The following is a 25,662-nucleotide window of genomic DNA, read 5'->3' on the forward strand; positions in this document are numbered from 1 at the left end:
TGGGCTCAGACCTATCTAGACCTTTAATTTGCAGCTGTGGGGCAGATCCCAGAGAGGGTCAGGACACCCAGGTTTTCCCTGAGCTGGGACCCAGCTGCCCAGGGAGAGGCTTGTCTTCGGGGAGGTCAAGCGGCCGGCCCCAGATGGACAGCCTGGGGTGGGAAGGGCACAGAGCTCGGGCAGTGAGCCTCCTGCCACCCACAGGCTCCAGAAGGGCAAAGCCTGCCCAGATGGGGACAAGTGCCGCTGCGCCCATGGACAGGAGGAGCTCAACGAGTGGCTGGACCGGCGCGAGGTGCTGAAGCAGAAGTTGGCCAAGGCTCGCAAGGACATGCTGCTGTGCCCACGGGACGACGACTTTGGCAAATACAACTTCCTGCTGCAAGAGGACGGGGACCTTGCCGGTGCCACCCCAGAAGCCCCTGCTGCTGCTGCCACCGCCACCACTGGGGAGTAGGGCCAGGTGTTGGCCGTGGGTGAAGTCCTGGGGTCAGGGGGTGGGGTGGGGCCAGAAGGCCTGATAGAAGGGTCAGGGCAGGCCAGGGGGGTGGGGGGCCGCCCTCATCAGGCAGCCCCCAGCCCCCTGAGGCCCTGTCCATCTTCTCCCCACCACCGCCCCGGTGTGCGTACCCAGGCGCACGTGCTGCAGCCCCCGGAGGCCCCGCTGAAACCTGGGCTGCCCTTCCCCCACCCCCACGGCTCTCCTGGTTGAGGAGGGAGGGGCCTGGCTGACCCCTCCAGCTTCAGCCTCCAGCTTTAACTTCTGTCTGCTCCTAATGGGGGCCCAAAGCTCAGGGCTGGGGAGCCTGGGGTCCCCACTTGAATCTCCAGCAGGAGGGTCCTTCTCTCCCTGGCCCGTCCTCCTCCCACCCCCTCCCCCTGGGGGCAAATCAGGACACAACAGAGGGCAGAGGCCCCATTAGCTTTAAAATGTAGCCCCAGGTTGGAGCTGGGAACACTGTACTGGCCACTTACCCTCTGGGGCCTCAGCTTTCCCTCCGGAAGGCTGGGAGGAGGTGGGCTAGATGATCTTTGGAGCTTAAGGAGTCCCAGCCCTTTCTCTGATGCCACCACCTGAACCCTGCTCCCTCGTGGGCCAGTGAAAATAGACTGTAGGTCCTCAGAGCCTTCAGAGATGATCCAGCCCAAACCCCATTTTGCAGAGAGGAAAACTGAGGCCTAGAAGGGAGGAGTGGTCCACCCACGGTCCCAGCACAAGGCAGAGCTGGGATGAAAACAGGGCTGAAAAGACTCAGGGCCAATTATTGGCTGAGCCCACGGTCCCCTCAGCAGGGATGCGATGGTCTCTGAATCAGTGTGCAGCTGGGGTCCCAGGCAGCGCTGCCTGGGGGCTGGGGAGGGGAGGCCCAGAGGAGGGCTGGCCATGTGAGCACCCCATGAAGGGACCGCCCCCTCCCAAGGATGGTCCCTTTGGGTGCAGCAGCAGAGGTCACCTCCTGACATGCGCTCTGGGAAAGGTGGCAGAGGGCAGGACACCATGAGCTCAGGATCTGTGTGAGGTGTGGGAGGTGGGAAGGGTGAGGGTCTGGGGGAATGCGGAGAAAAGGGAGGCTTGACCCCGGGCACCATGGGCCACTCCAGGATGGGACACGGCCCCTCTTTCTTGGGGACCCAGTATGTCCTCTCCTCTAGACCCAGACATACAGTTATAACCGTCTGTCCTAGCCCCTCCCTAATCCCTGGCCCTCCCAGCTGTCTGGGACTTCAGTGGACCCCCAGCCCCTGCCCCCACTCACCAAGGCCTCGCTCGTCCCTCTCGTCTGACATGTCTGTGTGCACCCCCCTCCTCTCCACCCTACCTTCCATCAACCAGGGCAGATCCACCGTGCCCTGGTTCCCCAGACATTCCAGAATGCCCCACATCATTGGCACAGGAGTGGGGCAGCCCCGGAAGGAACCAGGGATTAGGCTGTAGGGGGGTGAGAAGGAGAGAAGGGACCACCCCATTCTTCTCAAGCAAGGATTGCCAGCGCGCGCTGACACAGTGATGGGCTGCCCAGGGCTGGAGGGGACGCTGTTCCTCCCGCCGCCACTGCCCAACCTTTCCTGATAATCGTGGCATGCGCCCTTTCCTCTTCCCTGCCCCACCCCCTGGCCGCAGCAGGCCAGCACTGCAGAGTTTGGGTGCTGGTGGTGTGGCTGTAGGGGAGGGGAGACCACACCCAAGGTGGGGGCTGTGGCCATGTGTGGCCGTGATGTCGATGATACTCGTTTTCCCTGATCCGTGGTGTTGCAGTCCGTTGTCACCAGCCTTGTTTCTAGTGTGTATATATGTCGCCCCCGTGATGCATATATACACAGGTATTAAATATATCGCTCTATATAATATTATATATGTGTGTGGTATCCAAGGAATCACTTTTATGAGGGCTAAAGATAAAGAATTTGGCCAGAAAATGCAGCCATCCTTGTGTGATTAGGAGGGTTTCAGGGGCCACTGGACTATTTGCAAGGTGACAGGGACTGGAGCCATGGCTCAGAGGTGATTCGGGCAGCCAGGGACAGGAGCCACCCTCCCCAGGCCCAACTCTGCTAGCTTCCCAGACCACCCCCATCGAGTGCGGAGAGAGTGGGAGTGCTCAGGGAAAGAAGGTGATTTGTATTTGTCTCCCCGCTGAAAAGAACAGGATTCAAGTCCAGAGTTTTCATCTTCAGCCTGTGATCTGTCCAGGGACCCTTGGGATCTGGGGCTTCCTGGCCTGGCCAGAGCTGGAGCCCCCACAGGGTAAGGAAGAGAGAGTGGGAGGCAGAGTGTGATGGGGAGGAGGGACAGGAAGACCCTTTTAATGATGAGGGTAACTATTTCAGTTGTGAGCCTTCTAGGGCCCCAGGCTGGGAGGCTCAGAGGACTGAATCTGGGACCTGTGTTCCCCCCGGCAGGCAGGGACAAGATGGCATGGCAAGCATGGGGGCGGGGTGGGTGGGGAGGGATGCTGCATTTCTCAGCTGGGCAGTAATCAATTTAATGGTCCTTTAAAATGTCTGTGTATTAAAAATTTAAGAATACCACACTTTAATATTAAATATTCATAAGGTCTAGTATCTTGATAATAATGTAGATGTTTTAATAACAATTTTTGTCCTTCTTAAAATAAAATGAAAGAAACTTGCTTCCCTTAGCCTTTGTTCTAGAAAATAAACTTGTGCACTTTGACCTCTGTCCCCGAGATGTCACTCCTGTTCCTCCCCACCTGGTACTTATATCCAGGGGCCTTAGCTGCTCTGTCCTCATGGGACAGACCTGGCCGGTACTAGCTACTCTGAGGAATGCTAAGCATTCCGAGGGGTGAGGGGCAGGTCTGTGTCCCTGTGTACACACGGAGGCCAGCCGACCCTGGCTCCGGCAGCATCTCACTGGCAGCGACACGCTGCCACTTGCCACCCTTCCCTGGCTCATCTGCAGCTTGCCTGCTCTCAGCCTTCCACGTGGGGCTGCCAGCGGTGCCCACACTTCCCTACATTTACGCTGCAGTGTGTGCCCAGCTGGGTTCCAGGACCCACCTCTGCCCTTTCTGGAGGTGGCTCTTGCAGGAAGGCAGGGACCATGCCTCGCCTATGATGCCCAGTGTGATCCCGACTGCAACCCTGGCTTCTGTGAACCCAAGGGAGACTGAAGTCACATGGGTCCAGTTTCCTCATCTTTAAAAGGAGCTGGCGGGGGGGCTGGGCACAGTGGCTCACACCTGTAATCCCAGCACTTTGGGAGGCCGAGGTGGGCGGATCAGCTGAAGTCAGGAGTTTGAGACCAGCCTGGCCAACATGGTGAAAACCCGTCTCTACTAAAAATACAAAAATTAACTGGGCATGGTGGCACATGCCTGTAATCCCAGCTACTTGGGAGGTTGAGGCAGGAGAATCGCTTGAACTCGGGAGGCGGAGGTTGCAGTGAGCTGAGATCGGTCCACTGCACTCCAGCCTGAGTGACAGAGCGAGACTCTGTCTCAAAAATAAATAAATAAAAGGAGCTGATATATTAGATCTGGAGTTCTCAGGGACTCAGTCTGCTGGGGTGGGAGGTACTTTGTCAAATCTTTTGGATTGTGCATGGCTGCAGGTGATAGAGGGGGTCCCATAGGGAGGGACTGCTCATGTCCAAGAGCAAGCTCTCACCAGACAGCTTTTTTTTCTTTTTCTCCTTTTTTTTTTTGAGACAGAGTCTCACTCTGTCACCCAGGCTGGAGTGCAGTGGCACGATCTCGGTTCACTGAAACCTTCACCTCCCAGGCTAAACTGATTCTCCTGCGTCAGCCTCTTCAGTAGCTGGGACTACAGGCACCCACCACCATGCCTGGCTAATTTTTGTATTTTTGGTAGAGCCAGGGTTTCACCATGTTGGCCAGGCTGGTCTCGAACTCCTGACCTCAAGTGATCCACCCGCCGCCTTGGCCTCCCAAAGTGCTGGGATTACAGGCATGAGCCACCACCATGCCCGGCTTCCCAGACAGCTTTAAACTGCAGTGTGGAGTGGACCAGGACAGCGGTTCAGGACCAGAGAATTGCCTGAAGACGGAGTCATTTGGGCCAGGTGTGCAGTAGACGCTCAGATGCTTGATAAATGATGGCACGAGGAACAAAAGCAGCCAGCTTTATTGAGCATCTTGGTTGCAGCAGGTACTGTGCAGCTAGTACATCCGTCCCTCACAGCAACCGTGGAAGTTCACTGTCCACATTTATAGCCCAGAGAGTTTCAGTGAAGGTTCCAAGGACCCTCAGGAAGGAGGCAGAAAAAAGATCGAGAACCACTGGGAACTGGGTATCGGCAAACGTCCCTTCCGCCCTGACATTCTGGAATTCACAGCACCTCTGGATGCACTGTGAAAAACCGAAGTGGCGTGGCAAGGCAGAGTTCCCGGAAGAAAAATACAGACTCATGCTTAGGCTGGAGAGATCGCGTGCCTGCATCAAGACCTTACAGGATTACTCCTGTAATCCTGCCTTGGGAGATCAAGGCAGGAGGATCACTTGAGGCCAGGAGCTTGAGACTAGCCTGAGCAACAGTAAAGCCGTATCTCTACAAAAAAAAAAAAAAAAAGTAAAATTAGCTGGGTATGGTGGTCCACACCTGTGGTCCTAGCTACTTGGGAGGCTGAGGTGGAAGGTTGGCTTGAGCCCAGGAGGTTGAGGCTGCAGTGAGTCATGATCACACCACCGCACTCCAGCCTGGGAGACAGAGCAAGATCCTGTCTCAAAAAAATAAAAATAAATAATAAAGGAACAATTAAAGAGTAAGACAAGCAGAGGCCGGGCTCAGTGGCTCACTCCTGTAATCCCAGCACTTTGGGAGGCAGAGGAGGGTGGATCACGAGGTCAGGAGTTCGAGACCAGCTTGGCCAACATAGTGAAACCCCCGTCTCTACTAAAAATACAAAAATTAGCCGGGTGTGGTGGCACACGCCTGTAGTCCCAGCTACTTGGGAGGCTGAGGTGCAAGAACCACTTGAACCCGGGAGGCAGAGGTTGCAGTGAGCTGAGACCATGCCATTGCACTCCAGCCTGGGTGACAGAGTGAGATTCTGTCTCAAAAAAAAAAAAAAAAATACAAGCAGGACTTCAATCAACCTAGTGGAATAAACTTGTACATTCTCATCAATTCCCTTAAATTCTCTTCTGGTCCTCACGTGGCTCAGATTGGTAAACATCAACTGAGCACCCACTCTATCCCAGATCCAGGGATACAGGATTACTTAAGAAACTGCTTCCCCTTCAGTTCAGTCAGTGCTAAAGGAGACCGACGTAATAGAAGATTGTAGAATGATGTGATGGGGGTGACGGGGGGAGACACTCAGGGAACCAGGGGAGGTACCTCATCCAGGCTCAGCAGCCAGGGAGGACTTCCTGGAGGAGGTGAAACTGGAATTGAAGCTTCAAAAAGATTCATCATTGTAATCCATGTCACTTACTGTTCTGCATCTTTCTCTCTTAATTTTTATTTCACATGTGCAGTTCCATGTACCCGTGTCACCTGGATATTTATGGTCAGTAGCTGATATTCATCCTATTGATGAGTCAGAGCTCGCTTAAGCAGCTTCCAGTTACTGAACGCAGCCCTGTGTCTGGTCTTCAGCCCTGTGAGTAGGGGCCTCAGTGAGCACGACCAACACAGCGCACCAGCTGCCTCAGCTCTACACCTCTAGAGAAAGCCCTTGACAGTTCTGCAAATAATTGCATCCGTCTATCCCCACACCTGGGAGCCCTTTGCAACCTCCCTGGGAAACAACCCCCAGTCCTCAGAAAAACGCAGCTGGAGCCACTGGACCTGCTCAATTGATGATCAGTAAGATTATGCCAGCCTCTTCTGGCACCTTCGTTTCGGGCCTAGAAGTAAATATATATGCGCTGCTGCTCAAGGAGAGGACGAGGCACAGGGAACGTGTTTTGTTGTTTTGTTTTGTTTTTTGTTTTTTTTTTTTTGAGACGGAGTCTTGCTCTTGTGCCCAGGCTAGAGTGCAGTGGCGTGATCTCAGCTCGCTGCAAGCTCTGCCTCCCGGGTTCACGCCATTCTCCTGCCTCAGCCTCCCAAATAGCTGGGATTACAGGTGCATGCCACCATACTAAGCTAATTTTTGTGTTTTTGGTAGAGACAGGGTTTCACCATGTTGGCCAGGCTGGTCAAGAATTCCTGACCTCAGGTGACCCACCCACCTTGGCCTCCCAAAGTGCTGGGATTACAGGAGTGAGCCACCGTGCCTGGCTGAGAACGTATTCTTGATAAAGTTCTCCCTCAGCCCGGCCTCTCAGCTGCACAAGGCGTTAGATGTTCTTAGGGAGCCACTGTGACTCTGACTCCAGACTTCTGTCTGGGATTACAGCTCCCCTGCAAGGAGACATAGCTGTAGGCACAAAGAACACCATGTTCCGGCTGGGCACGGTGGCTCACGCCTGTAATCCCAGCACTCCGGGAGGCCGAGGCGGGTGGATCATGAGGTCAGGAGATTGAGACCATCCTGGTTAACATAGTGAAGACCCCGTCTCTACTAAAAATACAAAAAATTAGCCGGGCCTGGTGGCGGGCACCTGTAGTCCCAGCTACTCGGGAGGCTGAGGCAGGAGAATGGCGTGAACCTGGGAGGCGGAGCTTGCAGTGAGCCAAGATCACGCCACTGCACTCCATCCAGCCTGGGTGACAAAGCGAGACTCCATCTCAAAAAAAAAAAAAAAAAAAAAAAAACCATGTTCCTAGTGAACTGGGGGTAAATACAGTTGATGAAAACTCAAGCGCAGGGCATAGGAATGGGCTCAGTGGCATTGATAAGGACACCAACAGACCTCAGACCATCTGCAGTGGACATCAGATCCCTGAGCTACGAAGTCCAAGAAGTGCAGACAATTCCAGCACTCCCAGCATACGGCCCCCGTCCGAAGGTCTCTAGGTATGTATACGGCCTTCCCTTCCCACTACCTCTGGCCTCCCTGGCTGCCTGGCCCAGCAACCCACTGGTGTGGTCCCTGTCTGACCTAGGGGATGCTGCCAGCTGGACACTGAGTGCCGACTGGGGGCTGCCAACATGGACTCCTGGTGGTGTGAAAGTTCTCTAAGGATAGGGAGTTGCCTGGCTGGGTATGTTAACTTTGAATTCCTCACAGGGTTTAGGCTGGTGCCAGGTATGTGATAAGCACTCATTCATAGTCTCAGAGGCTTAGGACATTCGCACATTAAAATGAACCTGCAGAGGCCAGGCACGGTGGCTCACACCTGTAATCCCAGTACTTTCGGAGGCTGAGGCAGGTGGATCACCTGAAGTCAGGAGTTTGAGACCAGCCTGACCAACACGGAGAAACCCCGTCCCTATTAAAAATACAAAATTAGCTGGGCACAGTGGTGCATGCCTGTAATCCCAGCTACTCGGGAGGCTGAGGCAGGAGAATTGCTTGAACCTGGGAGGCAGAGGTTGCGGTGAACCGAGATCACGCCATTGTGCTCTAGCCTGGGCAACAAGAGCAAAACTCCGCCTCAAAAAAAAAAAAAAAAAAAAAAAAAAGGAGCCTGCAGAGAGCTCACCGGAATGAATTTCCAAGAGAAAAACGTCTTGCAGCAGGTGGGTATGTTTGAGAAACACAGGGTGCTTCCTGTTCCTTTTGAGATCATACCGATGGACACCTGCCCACTCCACCTTTGTGATAAGCGGTCTTGCACTCAAGAGAATTCTTGGACCGAGGAATGGTGAATGCGGCAGCCCAGCCTGAGTCCACCCCTGACTGCAAATCACAGGTCAGCTGGGGGCCTGCGCACCAGGCTCACTCTCACCCTTACCCTCACCCCCGGGGTTGCAGAGCAAAGGGCACTGGCCAGGGTTCTGGCTGGAAACAGCAGTAAGGGGGTCTCTCCTTTGTAGTTACAAAACACTCTCTGCTGGTCAAAACATACAACTCTGCAAAATTAAATGTTTGTGTGTGTGTGTGTGTGTCATAAATATATACATATATATGTTTACTTTTGCAAAAAGAAACATTGGGGAATGGGAAAGAGGGACAGGGATAGAAAGGACATTTCTAAAGTATACTTCCTTGAGGCTGGGCACAGTGCCTCACACCTGTAATCCCAGCACTTTGGGAGGGTGAGGAGGGCGGATCACCTGAGGTCAGGAGTTTGAGACCAGCCTGGCCAATGATGCGAAACCCTGCCTCTACTAATAATACAAAAATCAGCTGGGCGTAATGGTGTGTGCCTGTAATTCCAGCTACTTAGGAGGCTGAGGCAGGAGCCTGGTAGGCAGAGGTTGCAGTGAGCTGAGATCCTGCTACTGTACTGCAGCCCGGGCAACAGAATGAAACTATGTCTCTAAATAAACAAATAAATAAACAAACCTTATCGGAGGTTTTGAGCTGTGAGCCACGTATTGTTTTTTGTATTCAAAAGTTAAAATTAATTTTTAATTAATTTGGGAAAGAGCATAATTTGGGGAGGGTCATTAGGGAGGGAAGGAGGGTAATTAAGAGTATAAGCTGAGGTCATTGGGAAAGGAAGAAGCCAGAAGGGGCTCTTGGAGTATTTTTGATTCTGTACAAAATGGAATTTTGGAAAACAACAAAGCACTGCTTAGAAACCAGCTACAGGCCAGGGGCAGTGTTCACACCCATAATCCCAAGACTTTGGGGAGGCCAAGACCGGGGGATGGCTTGAACACAGGACTTGAGACCAGCTTGGGCAACAGTGTCTTTATAAAAAAAAAGTCCAGTGTGGCGGCATGCACCTATGGTCCCAGCTACTTGTAAGGATGAGGCAGTGAGCCGTGATCCCACCACTGCACTTCAGCCTGAGCAACAAAGACCCTGTTTCAAAAAAAAAAAAAAAAATCAGCTACCACGCAGAAAACCAAATGTTTATTGCAGCCCATCTGGAGCTTCAGAGCCATAGAACTAGAGCTGAACGGCACCTTAGAGGTCACTGCATTCGGTGGTTCGGGAACTGAGACCCAGAGTTGCTGCCACGCTTGCTCAAGATCCCACAGCAATGTACGGCAGAATCGAGAACCTGGCATCCCCCGGCAAGTCTGGCTTTGACGTGATGTTGGTCTGACGTAGAGGTTGACATCCAGAACCTTTGCTTCACCCATTCAAGTAACCCAAGGACCACAGGGGCCAGCGTCCTGGTGGGAGGGTATGAGAGGGAACTACAGCAAATAGCCAATTGGCACTTTAAGTCCCCACAATGACTGGGAAGCAGGGATTCCTCATCCAGGACAAGCCTGAAGCAGGCTGGCAGAGCTGCCCCCCTTTCAGTGGTGCCTGGTCTCCTGGCACCTGCCCCTTTTCCCCTCTCCCCTGAAGACCAAAGAACCTGAGGCGGTAGGTTTTATCACTTCCTTTTGGGGAACAGGCTTCAGGCTGTGCAGATGGTATAAAGCTCCAATTATGCATGCCATATGTACACTGGCGTGCCTTGTAGGGTACGTGTGCATGGCATAAACACAGCATCAAAACATGCCACAAGCCCTTGAGGCTCAGAAGCGCACAGGTGAAGGCATGATGTCCGACCGCATCCCTGCATCTGCCAACACAGGGTGTCTTGTGCTCGGCTGCCTGAGGTGCTGTCCTTGCCTGTCATCCTCCTTTTCTCTTGGAGCCTCAGGTCCCAGCCCGGGATGGTTTCCACTGCGTGCCTGGGCCTCCAGGGCACCTCCATGCTGATGCGTGCTTGCTGTGGGCGTGGAGCTTACCATTCTCACCTGGCAGCCCCAGTTATGGCTCCCAGCCTGGGGGAGAACTTCCCTTTCCAAAGTTAGATAACAGGCTGGGCTCTCTGTCAGAGGATTGGCGCGACAGCTCCACGTGCTGCAGCTGGCGCAGGGCCAGGCCCGCCCTGCCAAGCAGCGGGAAGGGAAGGCCTGGCTGCAGCCGGAGCTGGCAGGTGGCCGAGCCGGGGGTGGACGGGCGGGCTGGGACTGGTGCTGGCCATTGGCTGCCTCAAGGCTCCCACCCCGCCTGCCTCCCTAGCCTGCGGCTGGCGGCCCCTGCCTCTCCAGCTGCCTCTGAACTCCCTGGAGCAAGCACCTCCTGCTGGGCTGTGTGAGCTGCGACTGGTTCTCAGTGGCCCCTGCCATGGACATGCCTGAGGTCCTCAAGTCCCTGCTGGAGCACTCTCTGCCTTGGCCAGAGAAGAGAACAGGTAGGAGCACAGGTGACCTGCATTGATTGGCTGCCCAGGTACTCGAGGGGGCGAGGGGGCAGCCACAGGCACAGTGGCAGGACAGGCATCTCCAAGCCAGGGAGGGTCTCAGCAGTGGTGCGCCCTTGGTCTCAGGGTGCAGAGTGCGGAGAGGGGTTCGAGGAGGCATGTGTCACACCGGCTCTGGGACTCTCTCCTAGGCCTGCTGGATTTGGGGAAGCCATGGCCAGTGTGTGGCCACTGACAGGTGCTGTGCTCATGTGGGACCAGGACAGGACAGGGGGTCCTATTGAAAGAATCTGGCTGGATGCTGACTGCTTTTGAAGCTCCCTCCCCCTGTACGCTGGGGGTGGCAGAGGAGCGGCAGGGACTGTGGATTTGGGCAGCAGGAGCCTGGGTCTGAAGCAGAGGCTTTCCTTGGTGCGCCTGCTGCAGCTCCCGCTTGCCGGAGGGCTGAACTCATGGATGGGATGGAAACTGTTATGTAACAGGACCACAAGGCTCGAAGCCCTGCGTTCCTAGGATACCACAGGCAAAACGCGCGAGGGAGGAGAGAGGAGGGCGTGGACTGAGGGGCAGACCTGGTGGCCAGCACCAGGTGTCTCCCAAGTCCTGCCTGGGAACCCCATGGCCAGATTAGTTTGGCGGAGAATACTGATAAATCTCTCTCCAAATCTCTTCTGTTCCCAGAAGTCAGAGGTCACCCCCAGGTCCCCAGGGCTCCAACTCCTCCTTGCCTTTAGAGGGGCCCAGCTGGCTTTTGCTGCCTGAGTCTGACTTGAGCACCTGGGGTGTCCTCTCAGGGGACCTTTCTCAGGCCTCCCTCTCATCCTGCTGTGCCAGCACCTGCTACCTAGCATCACCAGGTGGCCCTGGTTGTCCCCGCAGGACTCCTTCCTTCCACAGGACGCTCTCAGCCCACTCCCAAACCAGAGCCAGGAGACAGATCCCACAGCCCCCGGCCTCCCTTCACCCCTCTGGAACTGGGTGTGGGTTTGCTTGGGCTAAGCCAGGAAAGGAGGGTCAGCAGGTTCTAGCCCCAGGGAGACATTGCCCGAACGGGGAAGGACGTACTGGGAGCTTAGGGCAGGGGCTCCGGAGCTCTCGCACGCAGCTCTGGGCTCAGGCCCCTCCGACCACACTCCATGCTGTCAAATGGTGGGACAGTCCAGGCCACCCTCTGAGAAGAGTGTCACAGAAGGCGCTCCTGTGGCCTCCTAGCACTGGGGACACCAGTTGCTCACCATGAGAAGCCCACCTCCTCAGCGAAGCCCTCTGCAACTCAGCCGGAGGGATCTGCCCCCATTTGGAGTCCACACCCACAAACAAGCCACAGCTGACTTTTTTGGCATCTCTGAGTGGCCTGTGTGGGTGGGCAGAGCTGAACACATTTCCAAAAGCTAAGGTAGAGGGTCCCCTCCTTGGTCCAGGAACCCAGGAAGGGTGGTACAGTCCCTCCTGGCTCCCCCAAGGTGTCCCAGGATGCCCCCCAGCACACACATGAAGGGCGAGGCTGCCAGTGGGGCAGGGAGGATTCTCAGGGGCGACTCGGGGCACTGCTCCTCAGATGAGGATAACAAGGCCTTTGAAGTGTGGCAGCAGCTGCCGGTCTCTGGCTCCCAGCTGGTCTGTGGGGCCCTGCAATAGCCGAAAAGTCCCCCTCCCTCACTGTGGATGAGCAAAGTCAGGGCCTGGCACATAGGGGACCGCCCAAGGTTTCAGGCAGAGCTTTGCCGAGCACTGGCAAGCTGTGGCCGAGAATTAGTTAGTCCAGCATGGCTGGGCAGGTCCAAGGGGTGTGGGCCAGTCTTGGGTCACCTCCTGTCACTTCATGTGGCATCTCACTGAGAGTGAGAAGCATGAGGTCCCACAGGACCGACAGATGCCAGCAGCCAACTGCTAGATAAAATGAGGGGAAGAGGGCTGAAGAGCCACAGGACTCACAATGACTGCAGCACATTACTGCCCCCTAATCTGCAATCAGTTTCCCAAAGCTGCCCGAATCTCCAGACCATTTATAAACAGAAACGTCTACCTGAAAAGCAATAGACCTTGTTGAAAAGAGGGTATAGCCACCACACAGAATGATTACAGAATTACTTGCCATCAGGGACCATGTACTTAAGTAGTTGTTGAAGTGGCTTCTCTTCCATCTGCCACTGCTCTGACTCTGGGTGTGAATTGGAGAAAGACAACAGAGGCCAGGTGCTCCAGAAAACAGGGATGCCCTCAGGTCCGCGTGCCCTTGCTTTGGTGGACTTCCTGCTGCTCCCGTCCAGTGGAAGGGGGCAGTTATCTCTTTGGATGACTGTTTACAAACTCCCCATTTTCTCTTCTTTCTCCTGCCCAATGGCTGTGCTTCGGCACACATTTAGGTCATGTGCAGAGCGTATCTCACCTCCAGTGGGAGGGAAGTGTACAGGAAAGTCTGCGGAGTGTGAGAAACTCCAGGTGTGCTCTCCCCATGCTCTCCGCTCCGTGCAGCCTCTCACTCCACTTTCTTTTATTTTCTCTTTCCCCCTTTTTTTTTTTTGAGATAAGAGTCTTGCTCTATCGCCAGGCTGGAGTGCAGTGGTGCTATCTCGGCTCACTGCAACCTCTGCCTCCTGGGTTCAAGCAATTCTCCTGCCTCAGCTACCCGAGTAGCTGGGACTACAGGCGCCCGCCACCACGCCAGGCTAATTTTTGTATTTTTAGTACAGATGGGGTTTCACCATGTTGGCCAAGATGGTCTTTATCTCTTGACCTCATGATCCGCCCGCCTCAGCCTCCCGAAGTGCTGGGATTACAGGTGTAAACCACTGCGCCTGGCATTTTTTTTTTTTTTTTTTGAGCCAGTGTCTCACTCTGTTGCCCAGGCTGGAGTGCAGTGGTGCAACGTCAGCTCACTGTAACCTCCACCTCCCGTGTTCAAGCAATTCTCCTGCCTCAGTCTCCTGAGTAGCTAGGATTACAGGCACCCGCCACCACGCCCGGCTAATTTTTGTATTTTTAGTAGAGACAGGTTTCACCATGTTGGCCAGGCTGGTCTCAAACTCCTGACCTCCAGTGATCCAGCTGCCTCAGCCTCCCAAAGTGCTGGGATTACAGGCGTGAGCCACTGCACCCAGCCTCATTCCGTTTTCTAGTTCATTGATGCCCCTTGAAACCCAGACTTGGGGTCCCTCTCCCTCGTGCTGCCCCTGGGCCTCCCAGCCCAGCCCGTGTAGACCTTGCCTCTTTCCTGTCCCTGGATAAACAGACTTTCTCCACCAGAGCTGACCAGCTCCCAGACTCCCTTGGCTTCCAACGACAATGGCTTCTTGGTGGCCTTCACTCTAGGCCATGAGTTCAAACAATTTCTCTTTTGGCAGAGAAATCCATTTCCAGCAAAAGGGTGGGTCTGTAGCCAAGCCCTGACTCAGTTTCCCCTCTATGTCCCTGGGCCCTAAATCCTGAAAACCACTCTTCCTGTCTTCACTCCCAACCTGTCTCCCAAGGATACTTTTCCAAGAGTTGATTCTGTTCCAGACTGCTCACTCCAGCTCTTAACGTCTTTCTCTTCCAGCTTCTGGAAAGACACTGTGTCTCTAAATCATATGATTAGCATTTTATACCCTATACTTCCCTCTCCCATGGGGCCCTGGCCATGCTTAGAGACACCTCCTCCCATTTTCTTGCCATCTCCGGTCACTCAGGCCTCCGTTTCAGGGAGTTGTGAAGCCGGAACATACACCTCAAAGGCTGAACAAGGCCTTTGCTTTGGGCTGGGCAGGCGGCATCCCCACGTAGGGGCACTCCTGATCTAGAATCCTTTCTAGGCAAGGCAGTGTGGCCCTGGGAAGAGAGCAGGGGGCTTATGATCAGAGTCAGGCCACAAATCCTAATTCTACAACCCACTGGTTGGGACTTGCCCCCCTCTCTCTCCATCTCCAGACTTTAAAAAGCGGAAAAGAATATCTGTGCCATGAGCTTGTTGCCAAGATTAAGTGAGTTATCCCATGTGAAAGTGTCTGCAAACCGTGAGATGCTGTGCTGGTTTTTTCTGTGAAAGGCAAACAGCAGCATGGCCTGGCGTCGTGCGTCTTCCACCTACATCCCATTTGCAACCTGACCCTCATTCCCTTCTTTCCACCTTCCTTTGAAGAACTGGATGGTACAAGTTGGTGTGTACACACACACACACGGCTGTCTCCTTGGAAACACATGCTGAGGCTCCTAGAGGCATGGTGCCATCTGCCCTGCACCCAATGGGACAGCCCCATTTCATAACAGGCAGGATCTCAGTAGGACTTGCTGGGGCAGAGGCAGGGGTACAGGAGGGGGCCTTGGTGTCATCCTCTTGGTGGACTGAGGGAAATGAGCCGAGAGTGTGGACTCGGTGCAGCCTGGGCTCTCCTGAGCTTGGCCTGAGTGAAGGGCCCTGTGTTTGCCTCCATGCACAGCCTGGGAACCAGAGCAAAACTGAGAAATCGAGGAGTTTGCTTTCAGGGACGAGGATGGGGAGAGGGCCTTCTATGTGCTGGATATGCTAGCTCATTTAATCCTCACTGCCTCTTTCTAAATGGTATATTTCCCCTGTTATTCTGGTGAGAAAATGAACAAAGAGGCACTGGCTACCCTCAGGGCCAGTCTCTCTCTTCTTCCTTCCCACCCTAGGTGCCCAGAGCCTTCTTCTCTACCTGCCCCCCACCCCATCCCTTCAGAGAAATGTGAGAAACTCATTCTTACCAAGTGCCAGGCATTGACGGCATGTCGAGGAGTGATCCTTCCAGATGGCTAGGCTGCTGCAGGACGGGCTCCTGACTTGACAGCCACTGTCTCCTGAGCGTGAGCCAGGACTGTATTGTGTGTGCCTATGTCACTATCTGTGCAATGGCTCTGCAAGGAAGGTATGATCATCCACTCTACGAATAAGGACATCGACGCTCAGAGAGAGGAAAGGCCACACAGTTGTTGAAGGATTCAAACCCAGTTCCTCCTGACACCAGGCTCGTGTCTACCCATAGGGTGGGTACCCATGTGGGTACCATGTCTCGGGTCGTAGCTCTTCGTCACCCAGCCACTCATCACGTGCTTCCAGAGCGTTTGCTATGCTTGGAGAGCCCGGGGTGAATGAAACCAACTCTACTCTTGCTCCCCTGGTGTTTGGATTCTAGAGGGGAGAGAGAATCTGCTGTGTTTAGGCAGGAGGCGGTGGTGGTCAGGACCAGCCTCTCCCAGGGAGAGGCATTTGAACTGAGGCCTGGAGGCCTGGAGGGTGAGGAAGAGCCAGCTACCCGAGGAACTTTCAGGCTGTGGGAAGAGCACCTGCAAAGGCCCTTCCTGGGACAGGAAAGAAAACGGGTCTGAGGAATAAAAGGCCACCATGGCTGCAGAAAGCAAGCAAGGGGGAGAGGGGTACCAGGTGAGGCTGGAGAGACCCGAAGGGCGAGCACCTGCAGAGCTTTGACGGTCATAAAGAGGAGTGACGCTCTCATCTCCCTGTCTGTAAGGACCCTCACACTCACTATTCTTGGGGAAGTGGCTGGTGGGGAGAAATTAGGTATCCCCAGAACAACCCAAGCAGGAATTACAGTAGAGTTAACTTTGACCGAGCACATGCTATAGGCCAGGTGGTGTCCTAGCACTGTGCCTGAATGGACTACTTTACTTCGGACACCACGGTACAGAGAAGTTCAACAATTTGTCCAAGGTCACCAAGAAATACAGTTAACCCTTGAATACCACAGGGATTAGGAATGCTGCCCCGCCATGCAGTAGAAAATCTGCATATAATTTTTGACTCCCCAAAAGCTTAACCACTAATAGCTTATTGTTGATGGGAAGCCTTACAGATAACATCAACAGTCCATGAACATATATTTTGTATGCTATATGTATTAGATAGTATATTTTTCTTTTTTTTTTAGACGGAGTCTCACTCTGTCGCCCAGGCTGGAGTGTGGTGGCGTGATCTAGGCTCATTGCAACCTCCGCCTCCCAGGTTCAAGCAATTCTCCTGCCTCAACCTCCTGAGTAGCTGGGATTATGGGCGCCCACCACCACGCCCAGATAATTTTTGTATTTTTAGTAGAGACGAGGTGTCACCATCTTGGCCAGGCTGGTCTTGAACTCCTGACCTCATGATCCACCTGCCTTGGCCTCCCAAAGTGCTGGGATTACAGTCGTAAGTCACCACGCCCGGACTTTTTTTTTTTTTTTTTGGAGACGGAGTCTCCGTCACCCAGGCTGGAGTGCAATGGTGTGGCCTCGGCTCACTGCAACCTCTGCCTCCAGGGTTCAAGCGATTCTCCCGTCTCAGTCTCCCGAGTAGCTGAGACTACAGGCGCATGCTACCACACCCGGCTAATTTTTGTATTTTTAGTACAGACAGGGTTTCACTATGTTGTCCAGGCTGGTCTGGAACTCCAGACCTCATGATCTGCCTGTCTCAGCCTCCCAAAGAGCTGGGATTGCAGGCATGAGCCACCGCGCCCAGCCTATATACTGTATTCTTACAACAAAGTAAGCTACAGAAAATAAAATGTTATTAAGAAAATCATGGCCGGGCGCAGTGGCTCACGTCTGTAATCCCAGCACTTCGGGAGGCTGAAGTGGGAGGAGTGCTTGAGCCCAGGAGTTTGAGACCAGCCTGAGCAACATAGTGAGACCCTGTCTCTACCAAAAAAATTAAAAATTAGCTAGGCAAGCCAGGCATGGTGGCTCACGCCTGTAATCCCAGCACTTTGGGAGGCCGAGGCAAGTGGATCACAAGGTCAGGAGATCGAGACCATCCTGGCTAACATGGTGCAACCCTGTCTCTACTGAAAATACAAAAAAAATTAGCCGGGCGTGGTGGCGGGCACCTGTAGTCCCAGCTACTCGGTAGGCTGAGGCAGGAGAATGGCGTGAACCCAGGAGGCAGAACTTGCAGTGAGCCGAGATCGCGCCACTGCACTCCAGCCTGGACAACTGAGCAAGACTCTGTCTCAAAAAAAAAAAAAAATTAGCCAGGCAAGGCAGTGCACACCTGAAATCCGAGCTACTCTGGAGGCTGGGGCAGGAGGATTGCTTGAGACCAGCAGTTCAAGGCTGCAGTGAGCTATGACAGCATCACTGCACTCCAGCCTGGGGGACAGAGCAAAACTGTCTCAAAAAAAAAAAAAAGAAAAGAAAATCATAACAGAATCTTAACTAAGTTGAAGTGGATCATTGTAAAGGTCTTCAGCCTTGTCTCCATATTGAGTAGGCTGAGGAAGAGGAGGAGGTGGAGGAAGAAGAGGGGTTGATCTTGTTGTTTCAAGGGTAGCAGAAGTTGAAGGGGAGGCAGGAGAGGCAGGCAAATTTAGTGTAACTTTTGTTGAAAAAAATCCACATGTAAGTAGACTCATGCAGTCCAAACCCCTGTTGTTCAAGGGCCGACTAAAGTGGAAGCAGGAGTCAGCCCCAGGGGGTCTGGCTCCAGAGGCCCACCTCTGTCCCCTCCAGCACGTCTTTGACTGCAGAAACCGTGGCTATCTGGTAGTGGCTTCTGAGACATCACACAGGGCAGAGGTGAGGGCTTCTCTCTGGAAAGGGCACTCTTGAGGGAGCTCTCCATTTGCAGACCAAGCCCTGGTAGCGGACAGAATGCAAGACAAACAGGAAACTAGCACTTTTGAGAGTACTGACGAGGAGGGCAAGAATCAGTAAAGAGCCTCCACCCACCACTTCTCCCCTGGAACACACTGAGACCAAGGAGGGTACAAACCACAGAGCCCAGGCACAGGTATGTGGGCTAAAAAGGAGAGCTGCTGGCAAGGCTTGTGCGGGCAGACTTGCCAAAGGATGGCTCATGTTTGCTGTTCCAGGTTCAATTGTGAATCAAACACAATGCCTGTTATTTGATGTTATTAATGCTCCAAATGCGGCCGGGCGTGGTGGCACACGCCTGTAATCCCAGCACTTTGGGAGGCCGAGGCGGGCGGATCGCGAGGTCAGGAGATCGAGGCCATGCTGGCTAACACAGTGAAACCCCGTCTCTACTATAAATACAAAAAAATTAGCCGGGCTACTTGGGAGGCTGAGACAGGAGAATGGTGTGAACCCAGGAGGCAGACCTTGCAGTGAGCCGAGATTGCGCCACTGCACTCCAGCCTGGGCAACAGAGCAAGACTCTGTCTCAAAAAAAAAAAAAAAAAATTGCTCCAAATGCATATCATTTAGCTCTGAAAGGTTTGGTTAACTGTCCTACTAGTACCAAGAACAAAGCAAGCCAACAAATATTTACTGATAGGGTGGGGATTTTTTCAAAAAAGAGAAAAAAGTATATTTTTACTGGGTTATTACCCTGAACAAAGCATCGTGCCCTCCTGCATTTGATTTGCGCAAAAGACACAGATAACCGGGCTTTCTTAGAGCTCAATGGAAGAAGCCTTATCACCCTCCTGCTCTCACACGTCCCAGGCCCATGTCCCATTTTCAGTAAGCCAGAAAACAGAGTGGGACTGTTCTACTAGGTGCGGAATATATGGCCAAAGAGATCATTATAGGGTATCTGGCCAAAGGCTCCTGTGTTGGAGTTTTAGCTCCTCTAAACTTCAAGTTTAAGTAAAAATAATCCAAATTGGCAAAATGGCTTAATGAAAATCACTTGTTCTGCTTATGCTCTACTGAACGAAGTTTTTGTTCTGTTTTTGTTTTTTTGTTGTTGTTGAGATGGAGTCTCGCTTTGTGGCCCAGGCTAAAGTGCAGTGGCGCAATCTCGGCTCACCGCAACTTCCGCCTCCTGGGTTCAAGTGATTCTCCTGTCTCAGCCTCCAGAGTAGCTGGGATTACAGGTGCCTGCCACCATGCCCGGCTAGTTTTCACAGAGATGGGGTTTTGCCATGTTGGCCAGGCTGGTCTTGAACTGCTGGCCTTAAGTGAGCCATCCGCCTCGGCCTCCCAAAGTGGTGGGATTACAGGCTTGAGCCATCGTGCCAGGCCTGAACAAAGTTTTTAACTTGGGCTAGTTAGCAGGTTTCTGGAACAGTCGTGACTAGAATTTACAGCCAGTCGTCCAGCTTTGGAAAATGGACATTTCACATCCAATCTTGTCTGTAGCTTAGACTCTAAACCCACCCTCAGGCCCACAGCCTTGTCCTCACACACAAAATAACTACTCCTGACCCAACACAGCTTGAACGGAAGGGGAAGGGTGGGTACCCACCCACTCCACACTGCACACCGTGCCAGGCGGGCACTTGGCATTGCACATCACAGGTCATCCTCACAACCATCCTGTGAGGCGGGCGTATCCATCTCTGTTTCCAAGGCGAAAATAACTGAGGTTTAGACAGGAGAAGTCGCTTGCCCATGGCCATGTGGCTGGGTCAGAAACTGAGGAAGGCCTCCCCACAAAGTCACTGCTGCCCCAGGACCCATGCTTCCCTAAAGAAACCAGTGTGGTCTTGTTTCTTGTTTTTGGTTTTTTGGAGACAGGGTCTCTCTCTGTCACCTGGGCTGGAGAGCAGTGTGGTACAATCACAGCTCACTGCAGCCTTGATCTCCTGGGCTCAAGCAATCCTCCCACCTCAGCCTCCTGAGTAGCTAGGGTACAGGCGCACCACCACACTCAGCTAATTTTTTTTTCTTTGAAAAAACAGAACGCTTCACGAATCTGCATGTCATCCTTGCACAGGGGACATGCGAATCTTCTCTGTATCATTCCAATTTTAGTATTTGCGCTGCTGAGGCAAGCACATCAGGCTAATTGTTTACTGTTTGTAGAGATGAGGTCTCACTATGTTGCCCAGGCTGGGCTACTGTTCCACACCATACCTTTATTTTTCTCTTTCTCTTTTTTCCCCCTGAAAAGCCTCTCTAATCTCTCAGCCTTTAAAGTCTTAATCGTGTAATAACATGTTCTTCTTATGGGGTTTATTTCTTTGTCGGGCTCACAAACTATGGAAATTAGCTAACTAGTTCTCCCAACGTTTATTCCTCCACTAAGACGGGGCAAGGTCACACCAATATTCCCACTTTAGTGATAGGAGACAGAGGTAGAGAGAGGCTGCTGTGGTGGAGAATGAAGAGGAGAACATAATAGCTCCCACCTCCAGGATGGCACTGTTTAATGCTGTAAACTGATGTAGCTAACCCCTCACAGCTGGCAATTAAGCACGATAGAGAACGTGTTTGCAACGCTCCTGCAGTATTTGTGACACATCATCTACCCTCTGGTTATCCAGGGGAAAAAACTCTCTCTGGGGAGTGTCAGTACATGAACACCAAGTTCTGGAGGCTTAACCCGCTGGTCTCACTTCTCACCAGCGTCACTTGCCTGTTAGGGTAGCTGCTCCAGGCTGGGAGATGAGTGGAGTAGGCATTATTCGTTTTGGATAACTACAGCTAAAAAAAGAAAATCTAAATCTTTACTTCCTCTTACTACATCCCATCTTTCTCATAAACACGTGTTAGAACCTTCCACTGTTATCATTAATCATTGTCTAATACTTTGAGAATGGGTTTTTCTTCCCAGCAATAATGTCGTATTAGCCATGAGACTATATAGGTATGATTCTAAGCCATCAAGTCTCCTCATGGCCAAACTAGCAGGTTTTTTAAAAAGCTTCCTTAGCTTCCTTTTTTTTTTTTTTTTTTTTTGAGACAGAGTCTCATTCTGTCCCACAGGCTGGAGTGCAGTGGCACGATCTCGGCTCACTGCAACCTCCGCCTCCCACGTTCAAGCAATTCTCCTGCCTCAGCCTCCCGAGTAGCTGGGATTACAGGCACTCGCCACCACGCCCAGCTAACTTTTGCCTTTTTTTTTTTTTTTTTTTTGAGAGGGAGTCTCGCTCTGTCGCTCAGGCTGGAGTGCAGTGGCGTGATCTCGGCTCACTGCAAGCTCCGCCTCCCGGGTTCACGCCATTCTCCTGCTTCAACCTCCCGAGTTGCTGGGACTACAGGTGCCCGCCACCACACCCAGCTAATTTTTTGTATTTTTTAGTAGAGACAGGGTTTCACTGTCAGCCAGTATGGTCTCGATCTCCTGATCTTGTGATCCTCCCGGCTCGGCCTCCCAAAGTGCTGGGATTACAGGCGTGAGCCACTGTGCCCGGCTATATTCTTAATAGAGACAGGGTTTCACCACGTTGGCCAGGCTGGTCTCGAACTCCTGACCTCAGGTGATCCGCCTGCCTCAGCCTCCCAAAGTGCTGGGATTACATGGGTGAGCCACCACGCCCAGCCCTGTATTGGTTTAATCAGTTTCCTTGGAATGTCCTTTGTCTAGGTTAGCTTCCCCTAAAGGTGTTTAAGTTTCGCCACACACAGAATTCTCACTAACAATTCTACAACACAACAAATTTTCTGTACACAATTAACTATTTTCACTACAGAGAGTGACACAGGCACCACACTAACCTCTGGGATAATGGATATGCCAACCAGTTTTAGTAAAATTATGAAAACTAAATTTGTTGAAGGTTTGCAACTGTGCGCCTACGCAAATTGGCTCACAGAAACCCCGTAAGGTAGGCCAGGCGCGGTGGCTCACGCCTGTAATCCCAGCACTTTGGGAGACGCGGGTGGATCACCTGAGGTCAGGAGTTCGAGACCAGCCTGGCCAATGTGGTAAAACCCCGTCTCTATAGAAAATACAAAAAATTAGGCGGGCACGGTGGCGGGCTCCTGTAGTCCCAGCTACTCCGGAGGCTGAGGCAGGAGAATGGCGGGAAGCCGGGAGGCAGCGCTTGCAGTGAACCGAGATCCCGCCATTTGCACTCCAGCCTGGGCTACAGAGTGAGACTCTGTCTCGGAAAAAAGAAAAAAAAAATTAGCCGTACGTGGTGGTGCACGCCTGCAATCCCAGCTACTCAGGAGGCTGAGGCAGGAGAATCGCTTGAACTCAGGAGGCAGAGGTTGCAGTGAGCCGAGATCCCGCCATTGCACTCCAGCCTGGGCAACAAGGGCAAAACTCCGTCTCAAAAACAAAAAACAAAAAACAAAAACACCATAAGGTAGAGCCTGCCCTAACTCCATTTGGCATAAAAGGAAAAAACGCTGGGTGCGGTGGCTCACGCCTGTAATCCCAGCACTTTGGGATGCCGAGGCGGGTGGATCACCGGAGGTCAGGAGTTCGAGACCAGCCTGACCAACATGGAGAAACCCCGTCTCTACCAAAAATACAAAATTAACCCCGTCTCTACTAAAAATACAAAATTAGCCGGGCGTGGTGACGCATGCCTGTAATCCCAGCTATTCGGGAAGCTGAGGCAGGAGAATCGCTTGAACCTGGGAGGCGGAGGTTGCGGTGAGCCGAGATCGCGCCATTGCACTCCAGCCTGGGCAACAACAGCAAAACTCCGTCTCAAAAAAAAAAAAAAGAAAAAAAGAAAAGAAAAGAAAAGAAAATAAAAAGAAAAGGAGGCCTGAAAAGGTAAAGCAATCGAGGCATCAGATTCAGAAAATGACTGAGGTTCAATTACAGTGGCAGTGAGAGCTTGAATTTTGGAATCAGACCTATCATCCTGTCTCTACCACCACCCAAAGTCCTTCAAATCTCTTGCTTTCCAGGCCTGGTCAGCTACCCAACTTCTTTTTCCTCCTTACCCCGCCGCAAAATTATTTTTATTTATTTATTTTTTTGACATGGAGTCTCCCTCTGTCGCCCAGGCTTGACTGCAGTGGCGCGATCTCGGCTCCCTGAAACCTCCACCTCCCAGGTTCAAACCGATTCTCGTGCCTCAGCTTCCCCAGTACCTGGGATTACAGGCGCCAGCCACCATGCCCGTCTAATTATTTCTGTACTTACAGTAGTGTCGGAGTTTCGCCCTGTTGGCCAGGCTGGTCTCGAACTCCTGACCTCAGGTGATCCGCCACCTCTGCCTCCCAAAGTGCCGGGATTACAGGCGTGAGTCACCAAGCCCAGCCCCAGCAAAATTCTGATTGCATCAGCTTGATAACTTTTAGCTGGCTGTGGGTGTCTGGATCATGCATCTACCCCCTGAACCAAGGACTATCACTATACCACCCCCCCAACCCCTCCTGCTAGAAGGGCTGGGCCACTGTAGGGATGCTGGATAAACAAGCCAAGCTCTCTGCCTTCCGGGAGTTAAGCGGGGAGTCTAATGTTGCCTGGGTTTGCAGCGGAGTCTGATCTGTACTATAAAGAGGTACAAAGTTCTGAGCGCTGTTTAGGAGCAGCTTTCCATTTGTGTACCGCGCCACATATTACATTTTTACGGATTTCTGCGGAACTCCCGGGGAGGCTTTATATTTTAAGAGAGGAGGTGGTTCTCCCACAAAACGTGGCATCGGTACCTGGTGTCAAGGAGGTTTTTGTTTTCTAGGTAAAAGAAGGGAGAGTTCTAGAAAGGAAAAGAATTTCACATCTGTTTGGGACTGTGGAGATTCTCTAGCCCAACCTCTTAATTTTATGGCCGAGGAAACAAGCTCCAGTGAAGCAACCGGACTTTCCCAAGGTCATAAGCTAGTAAGTGGGAGGGCGGAAACATGTACTCGGGCCCTGGCTCAGGTCAGAGCTTCAGGAATGCTCCCTCCACGCTAGTGTTGATCTGGATGCGTGGGCAACCCGACACCCCGCTCTAGGGCGGCCAAGCCTGCTCAGGCCATCCCTACGACTTGGCAGGTCGCGGTCCCCGGCCCTGCCCTCAGGCGACCTCTGGGTCGCGTGGGAGCAGAAGTGCGGGCTAAGCTCAGCGTCCCTGCCCCGCGACCCTGGGCAGAGTCCCCAGAACAAAAAGACCCGTCCCTCCCTTCCCCTCCCGCCCCGCCACAGCCCCGCACGTGCGGCGCCTCGTGCACCGCCCCGGGCCCCGCCCCCGCCCTCCATTGGCTGTTCCCGCGCCTTCCTCCTCTGCCCCCTCCCCCCGCGACCAGACTCGGCTGCGGCTCCACGTGACCCGCGGGGGGTGGACACGCCGCGCGAGCAGGAGCTCGGATAGGTCGCTTTGGCCGGCCTGGCCGCTCCGAGCTCCGCCCCTCTTCGGTGGCGCGTCGGGAAGGTTGCAAGTCGGGGACAAGAGGGAGAGGCTGCGGTGGTTGGGGAGGGCGGGGGTTATGAAGAGGGCGGTGAAGGGGGAACACTGGTAGGAGGGAAGGGACCGCGCCGAGGAAGGCCCACCACAAAGACTCCAGCAGGCGCCAATCAGGGGACACAGGGGCGGCGGGGCGGGGCCTCCGCGAGGGTCCTCACCTGGCCCCGCACGTGTCTATCTTATCCCGGCTGCCCGACCAATCACGGCCCGAGGATCTGCGCCTGCCCCTCTCGCAGGCTGGACCAATCCAGAGCAACGATCCGGGGAAGCTGGCCTGGCCTCATGAATAATTAATGTGCCAGAGCCGGTCCGCAGGCGGGGTAGCGATGGAAGGAGGCGGGGGCGCCATTGGGCGCCTGCGCAGTAGCTGCCCGTGTCGGCAGCTGCAGCGGGTCGCACGGCTCCGGCCCATCTCGGGGGGCGGGCGGGGGAGGCGAGGTGCGCGAGCCGAGTCCGGGGCACGATGTCCGACGCGGGCGGCGGAAAGAAGCCGCCTGTGGACCCGCAGGCAGGACCCGGTCCGGGGCCGGGGCGCGCAGCTGGGGAAAGGGGCCTGTCGGGGTCCTTCCCCCTGGTCCTGAAGAAGCTGATGGAGAACCCCCCGCGCGAGGCGCGCCTCGGTGAGGGCGGGGGGGTGGTCCGCGCGGGCTGGGGGCGGGGCTTATACAGGGGCGGGGCCTCGTGAGGGCGGGGCCGGGGAGGCAGTGGGTCAGGGAGCAGTGGTCCAGCGGAGGGGGATGGGGCCTGGATGACCAGGAGCCTGGAGGACGAGGCCGGGGGGCTGAGGACAGAGGGTCAGGGGCGGGCTGAGACGGTGGGTCTGGCGGGAGAGGGTGGGGAGAGGTTTTGAGGAGGCGGAAGGGGATCGGGAGCAGTCACTTAAATGACGCTCCAGGGCCCCTCCCCCGGGGCCACCTGCATCGGAGTCACTCGGGATGCCTGTTTAAATTGCTGGTTCCTGCGCCCCACCCAATCTGCGGTCACTGGGACAGGGGTCTTGCATTTTAAGGAGCACCCCACCGCACCCCCATTATTTTCCAAGTACACCAAAGT

At 53.8% G+C, this 25,662-nt stretch overlaps 3 protein-coding genes, 1 long non-coding RNA gene and 1 pseudogene across 7 annotated transcripts in view, besides 8 other annotated features; 3 read left to right on the plus strand and 2 right to left on the minus strand.

Annotated features, from left to right (window-relative positions):
* The window catches only part of ZC3H7B (zinc finger CCCH-type containing 7B), a 58,623-nt gene extending 55,448 nt beyond the window's left edge, over nt 1-3,175 (plus strand). The window contains exon 23 of the mRNA NM_017590.6: nt 205-3,175. Coding sequence (NP_060060.3) covers nt 205-457 — 253 coding nt within the window. The 3' untranslated portion in view covers nt 458-3,175. The remainder of the gene's footprint in view (nt 1-204) is intronic.
* Nucleotides 3,024-3,546: an enhancer, noted in NCBI's record as "H3K27ac-H3K4me1 hESC enhancer chr22:41756000-41756522 (GRCh37/hg19 assembly coordinates)". NCBI's record gives its function as "activates a minimal SCP1, AML or CMV promoter by ChIP-STARR-seq in naive H9 embryonic stem cells {active_cell/tissue: H9 hESC(naive)}" and the evidence as "EXISTENCE:reporter gene assay evidence [ECO:0000049][PMID:30033119]".
* Nucleotides 3,547-4,069: an enhancer, noted in NCBI's record as "H3K27ac-H3K4me1 hESC enhancer chr22:41756523-41757045 (GRCh37/hg19 assembly coordinates)". NCBI's record gives its function as "activates a minimal SCP1, AML or CMV promoter by ChIP-STARR-seq in naive H9 embryonic stem cells {active_cell/tissue: H9 hESC(naive)}" and the evidence as "EXISTENCE:reporter gene assay evidence [ECO:0000049][PMID:30033119]".
* Nucleotides 7,033-7,593: an enhancer, noted in NCBI's record as "H3K27ac-H3K4me1 hESC enhancer chr22:41760009-41760569 (GRCh37/hg19 assembly coordinates)". NCBI's record gives its function as "activates a minimal SCP1, AML or CMV promoter by ChIP-STARR-seq in naive H9 embryonic stem cells {active_cell/tissue: H9 hESC(naive)}" and the evidence as "EXISTENCE:reporter gene assay evidence [ECO:0000049][PMID:30033119]".
* Nucleotides 10,412-10,471: a silencer, noted in NCBI's record as "silent region_13785". NCBI's record gives its function as "represses an Ori minimal core promoter by ATAC-STARR-seq in GM12878 lymphoblastoid cells {active_cell/tissue: GM12878}" and the evidence as "EXISTENCE:reporter gene assay evidence [ECO:0000049][PMID:35858748]".
* TEF (TEF transcription factor, PAR bZIP family member) overlaps nt 10,483-25,662 on the plus strand; it is a 31,872-nt gene continuing 16,692 nt past the window's right edge. Inside the window, exon 1 of one of the 2 annotated variants that reach the window (NM_001145398.3) lies at nt 10,483-10,627. In NM_001145398.3, coding sequence (NP_001138870.1) covers nt 10,561-10,627 — 67 coding nt within the window. In that variant the 5' untranslated portion in view covers nt 10,483-10,560. Of the gene's footprint in view, nt 10,628-24,969; nt 25,230-25,662 lie in introns of those variants that run through there. The other variant, NM_003216.4, reaches the window with a different exon arrangement.
* Nucleotides 12,110-13,424, plus strand: LOC100996598 (uncharacterized). Its single transcript, XM_017029163.1, has 2 exons — nt 12,110-12,253; nt 12,942-13,424. The coding sequence occupies exons 1-2, from the start codon at nt 12,110-12,112 to the stop codon at nt 13,422-13,424; spliced, it is 627 nt and encodes a 208-aa protein (XP_016884652.1).
* On the minus strand, nt 13,676-24,939 carry LOC105373042 (uncharacterized). 3 transcript variants are annotated; one of them, XR_938271.3, is made up of 3 exons: nt 24,768-24,939; nt 18,062-18,202; nt 13,676-15,761 (listed from the first exon to the last, which is right to left on the minus strand). It is a non-coding gene; the product is annotated as an uncharacterized LOC105373042 (long non-coding RNA). The 3 variants fall into 3 exon arrangements; XR_938272.3 differs by lacking the exon at nt 24,768-24,939 and adding an exon at nt 23,364-23,397; XR_007068112.1 differs by lacking the exon at nt 24,768-24,939 and having other exon boundaries at nt 13,676-15,052; nt 15,338-15,761; nt 18,062-18,549.
* Nucleotides 20,205-20,311, minus strand: RNU6-495P (RNA, U6 small nuclear 495, pseudogene; annotated as a pseudogene).
* Nucleotides 24,189-24,788: a silencer, noted in NCBI's record as "silent region_13786". NCBI's record gives its function as "represses an Ori minimal core promoter by ATAC-STARR-seq in GM12878 lymphoblastoid cells {active_cell/tissue: GM12878}" and the evidence as "EXISTENCE:reporter gene assay evidence [ECO:0000049][PMID:35858748]".
* Nucleotides 24,189-25,518: a biological region, named in NCBI's record as "Sharpr-MPRA regulatory region 9842".
* Nucleotides 24,653-24,947: an enhancer, noted in NCBI's record as "tiled region #9842; HepG2 Activating DNase matched - State 1:Tss, and K562 Activating DNase unmatched - State 1:Tss". NCBI's record gives its function as "activates a minimal TATA promoter and a strong SV40 promoter by Sharpr-MPRA in HepG2 and K562 cells {active_cell/tissue: HepG2 | K562}" and the evidence as "EXISTENCE:reporter gene assay evidence [ECO:0000049][PMID:27701403]".
* Nucleotides 24,819-25,518: a silencer, noted in NCBI's record as "silent region_13787". NCBI's record gives its function as "represses an Ori minimal core promoter by ATAC-STARR-seq in GM12878 lymphoblastoid cells {active_cell/tissue: GM12878}" and the evidence as "EXISTENCE:reporter gene assay evidence [ECO:0000049][PMID:35858748]".

The sequence above is a fragment of the Homo sapiens genome, chromosome 22 (assembly GCF_000001405.40).
Source record: "Homo sapiens chromosome 22, GRCh38.p14 Primary Assembly".
NCBI classification, from domain to species: Eukaryota; Metazoa; Chordata; class Mammalia; order Primates; family Hominidae; genus Homo; species Homo sapiens.

What these genes read in the sequence shown, in the direction of transcription:
- LOC100996598 (XM_017029163.1), top strand. Translation starts at nt 12,110, where the DNA reads ATGCCCCCCAGCACACACATGAAGGGCGAGGCTGCCAGTGGGGCAGGG. An exon ending in CGGTCTCTGGCTCCCAGCTG is followed by an intron (nt 12,254 to 12,941) that starts GTCTGTGGGGCC and finishes GGATGACTGTTT; the next exon opens with ACAAACTCCCCATTTTCTCT.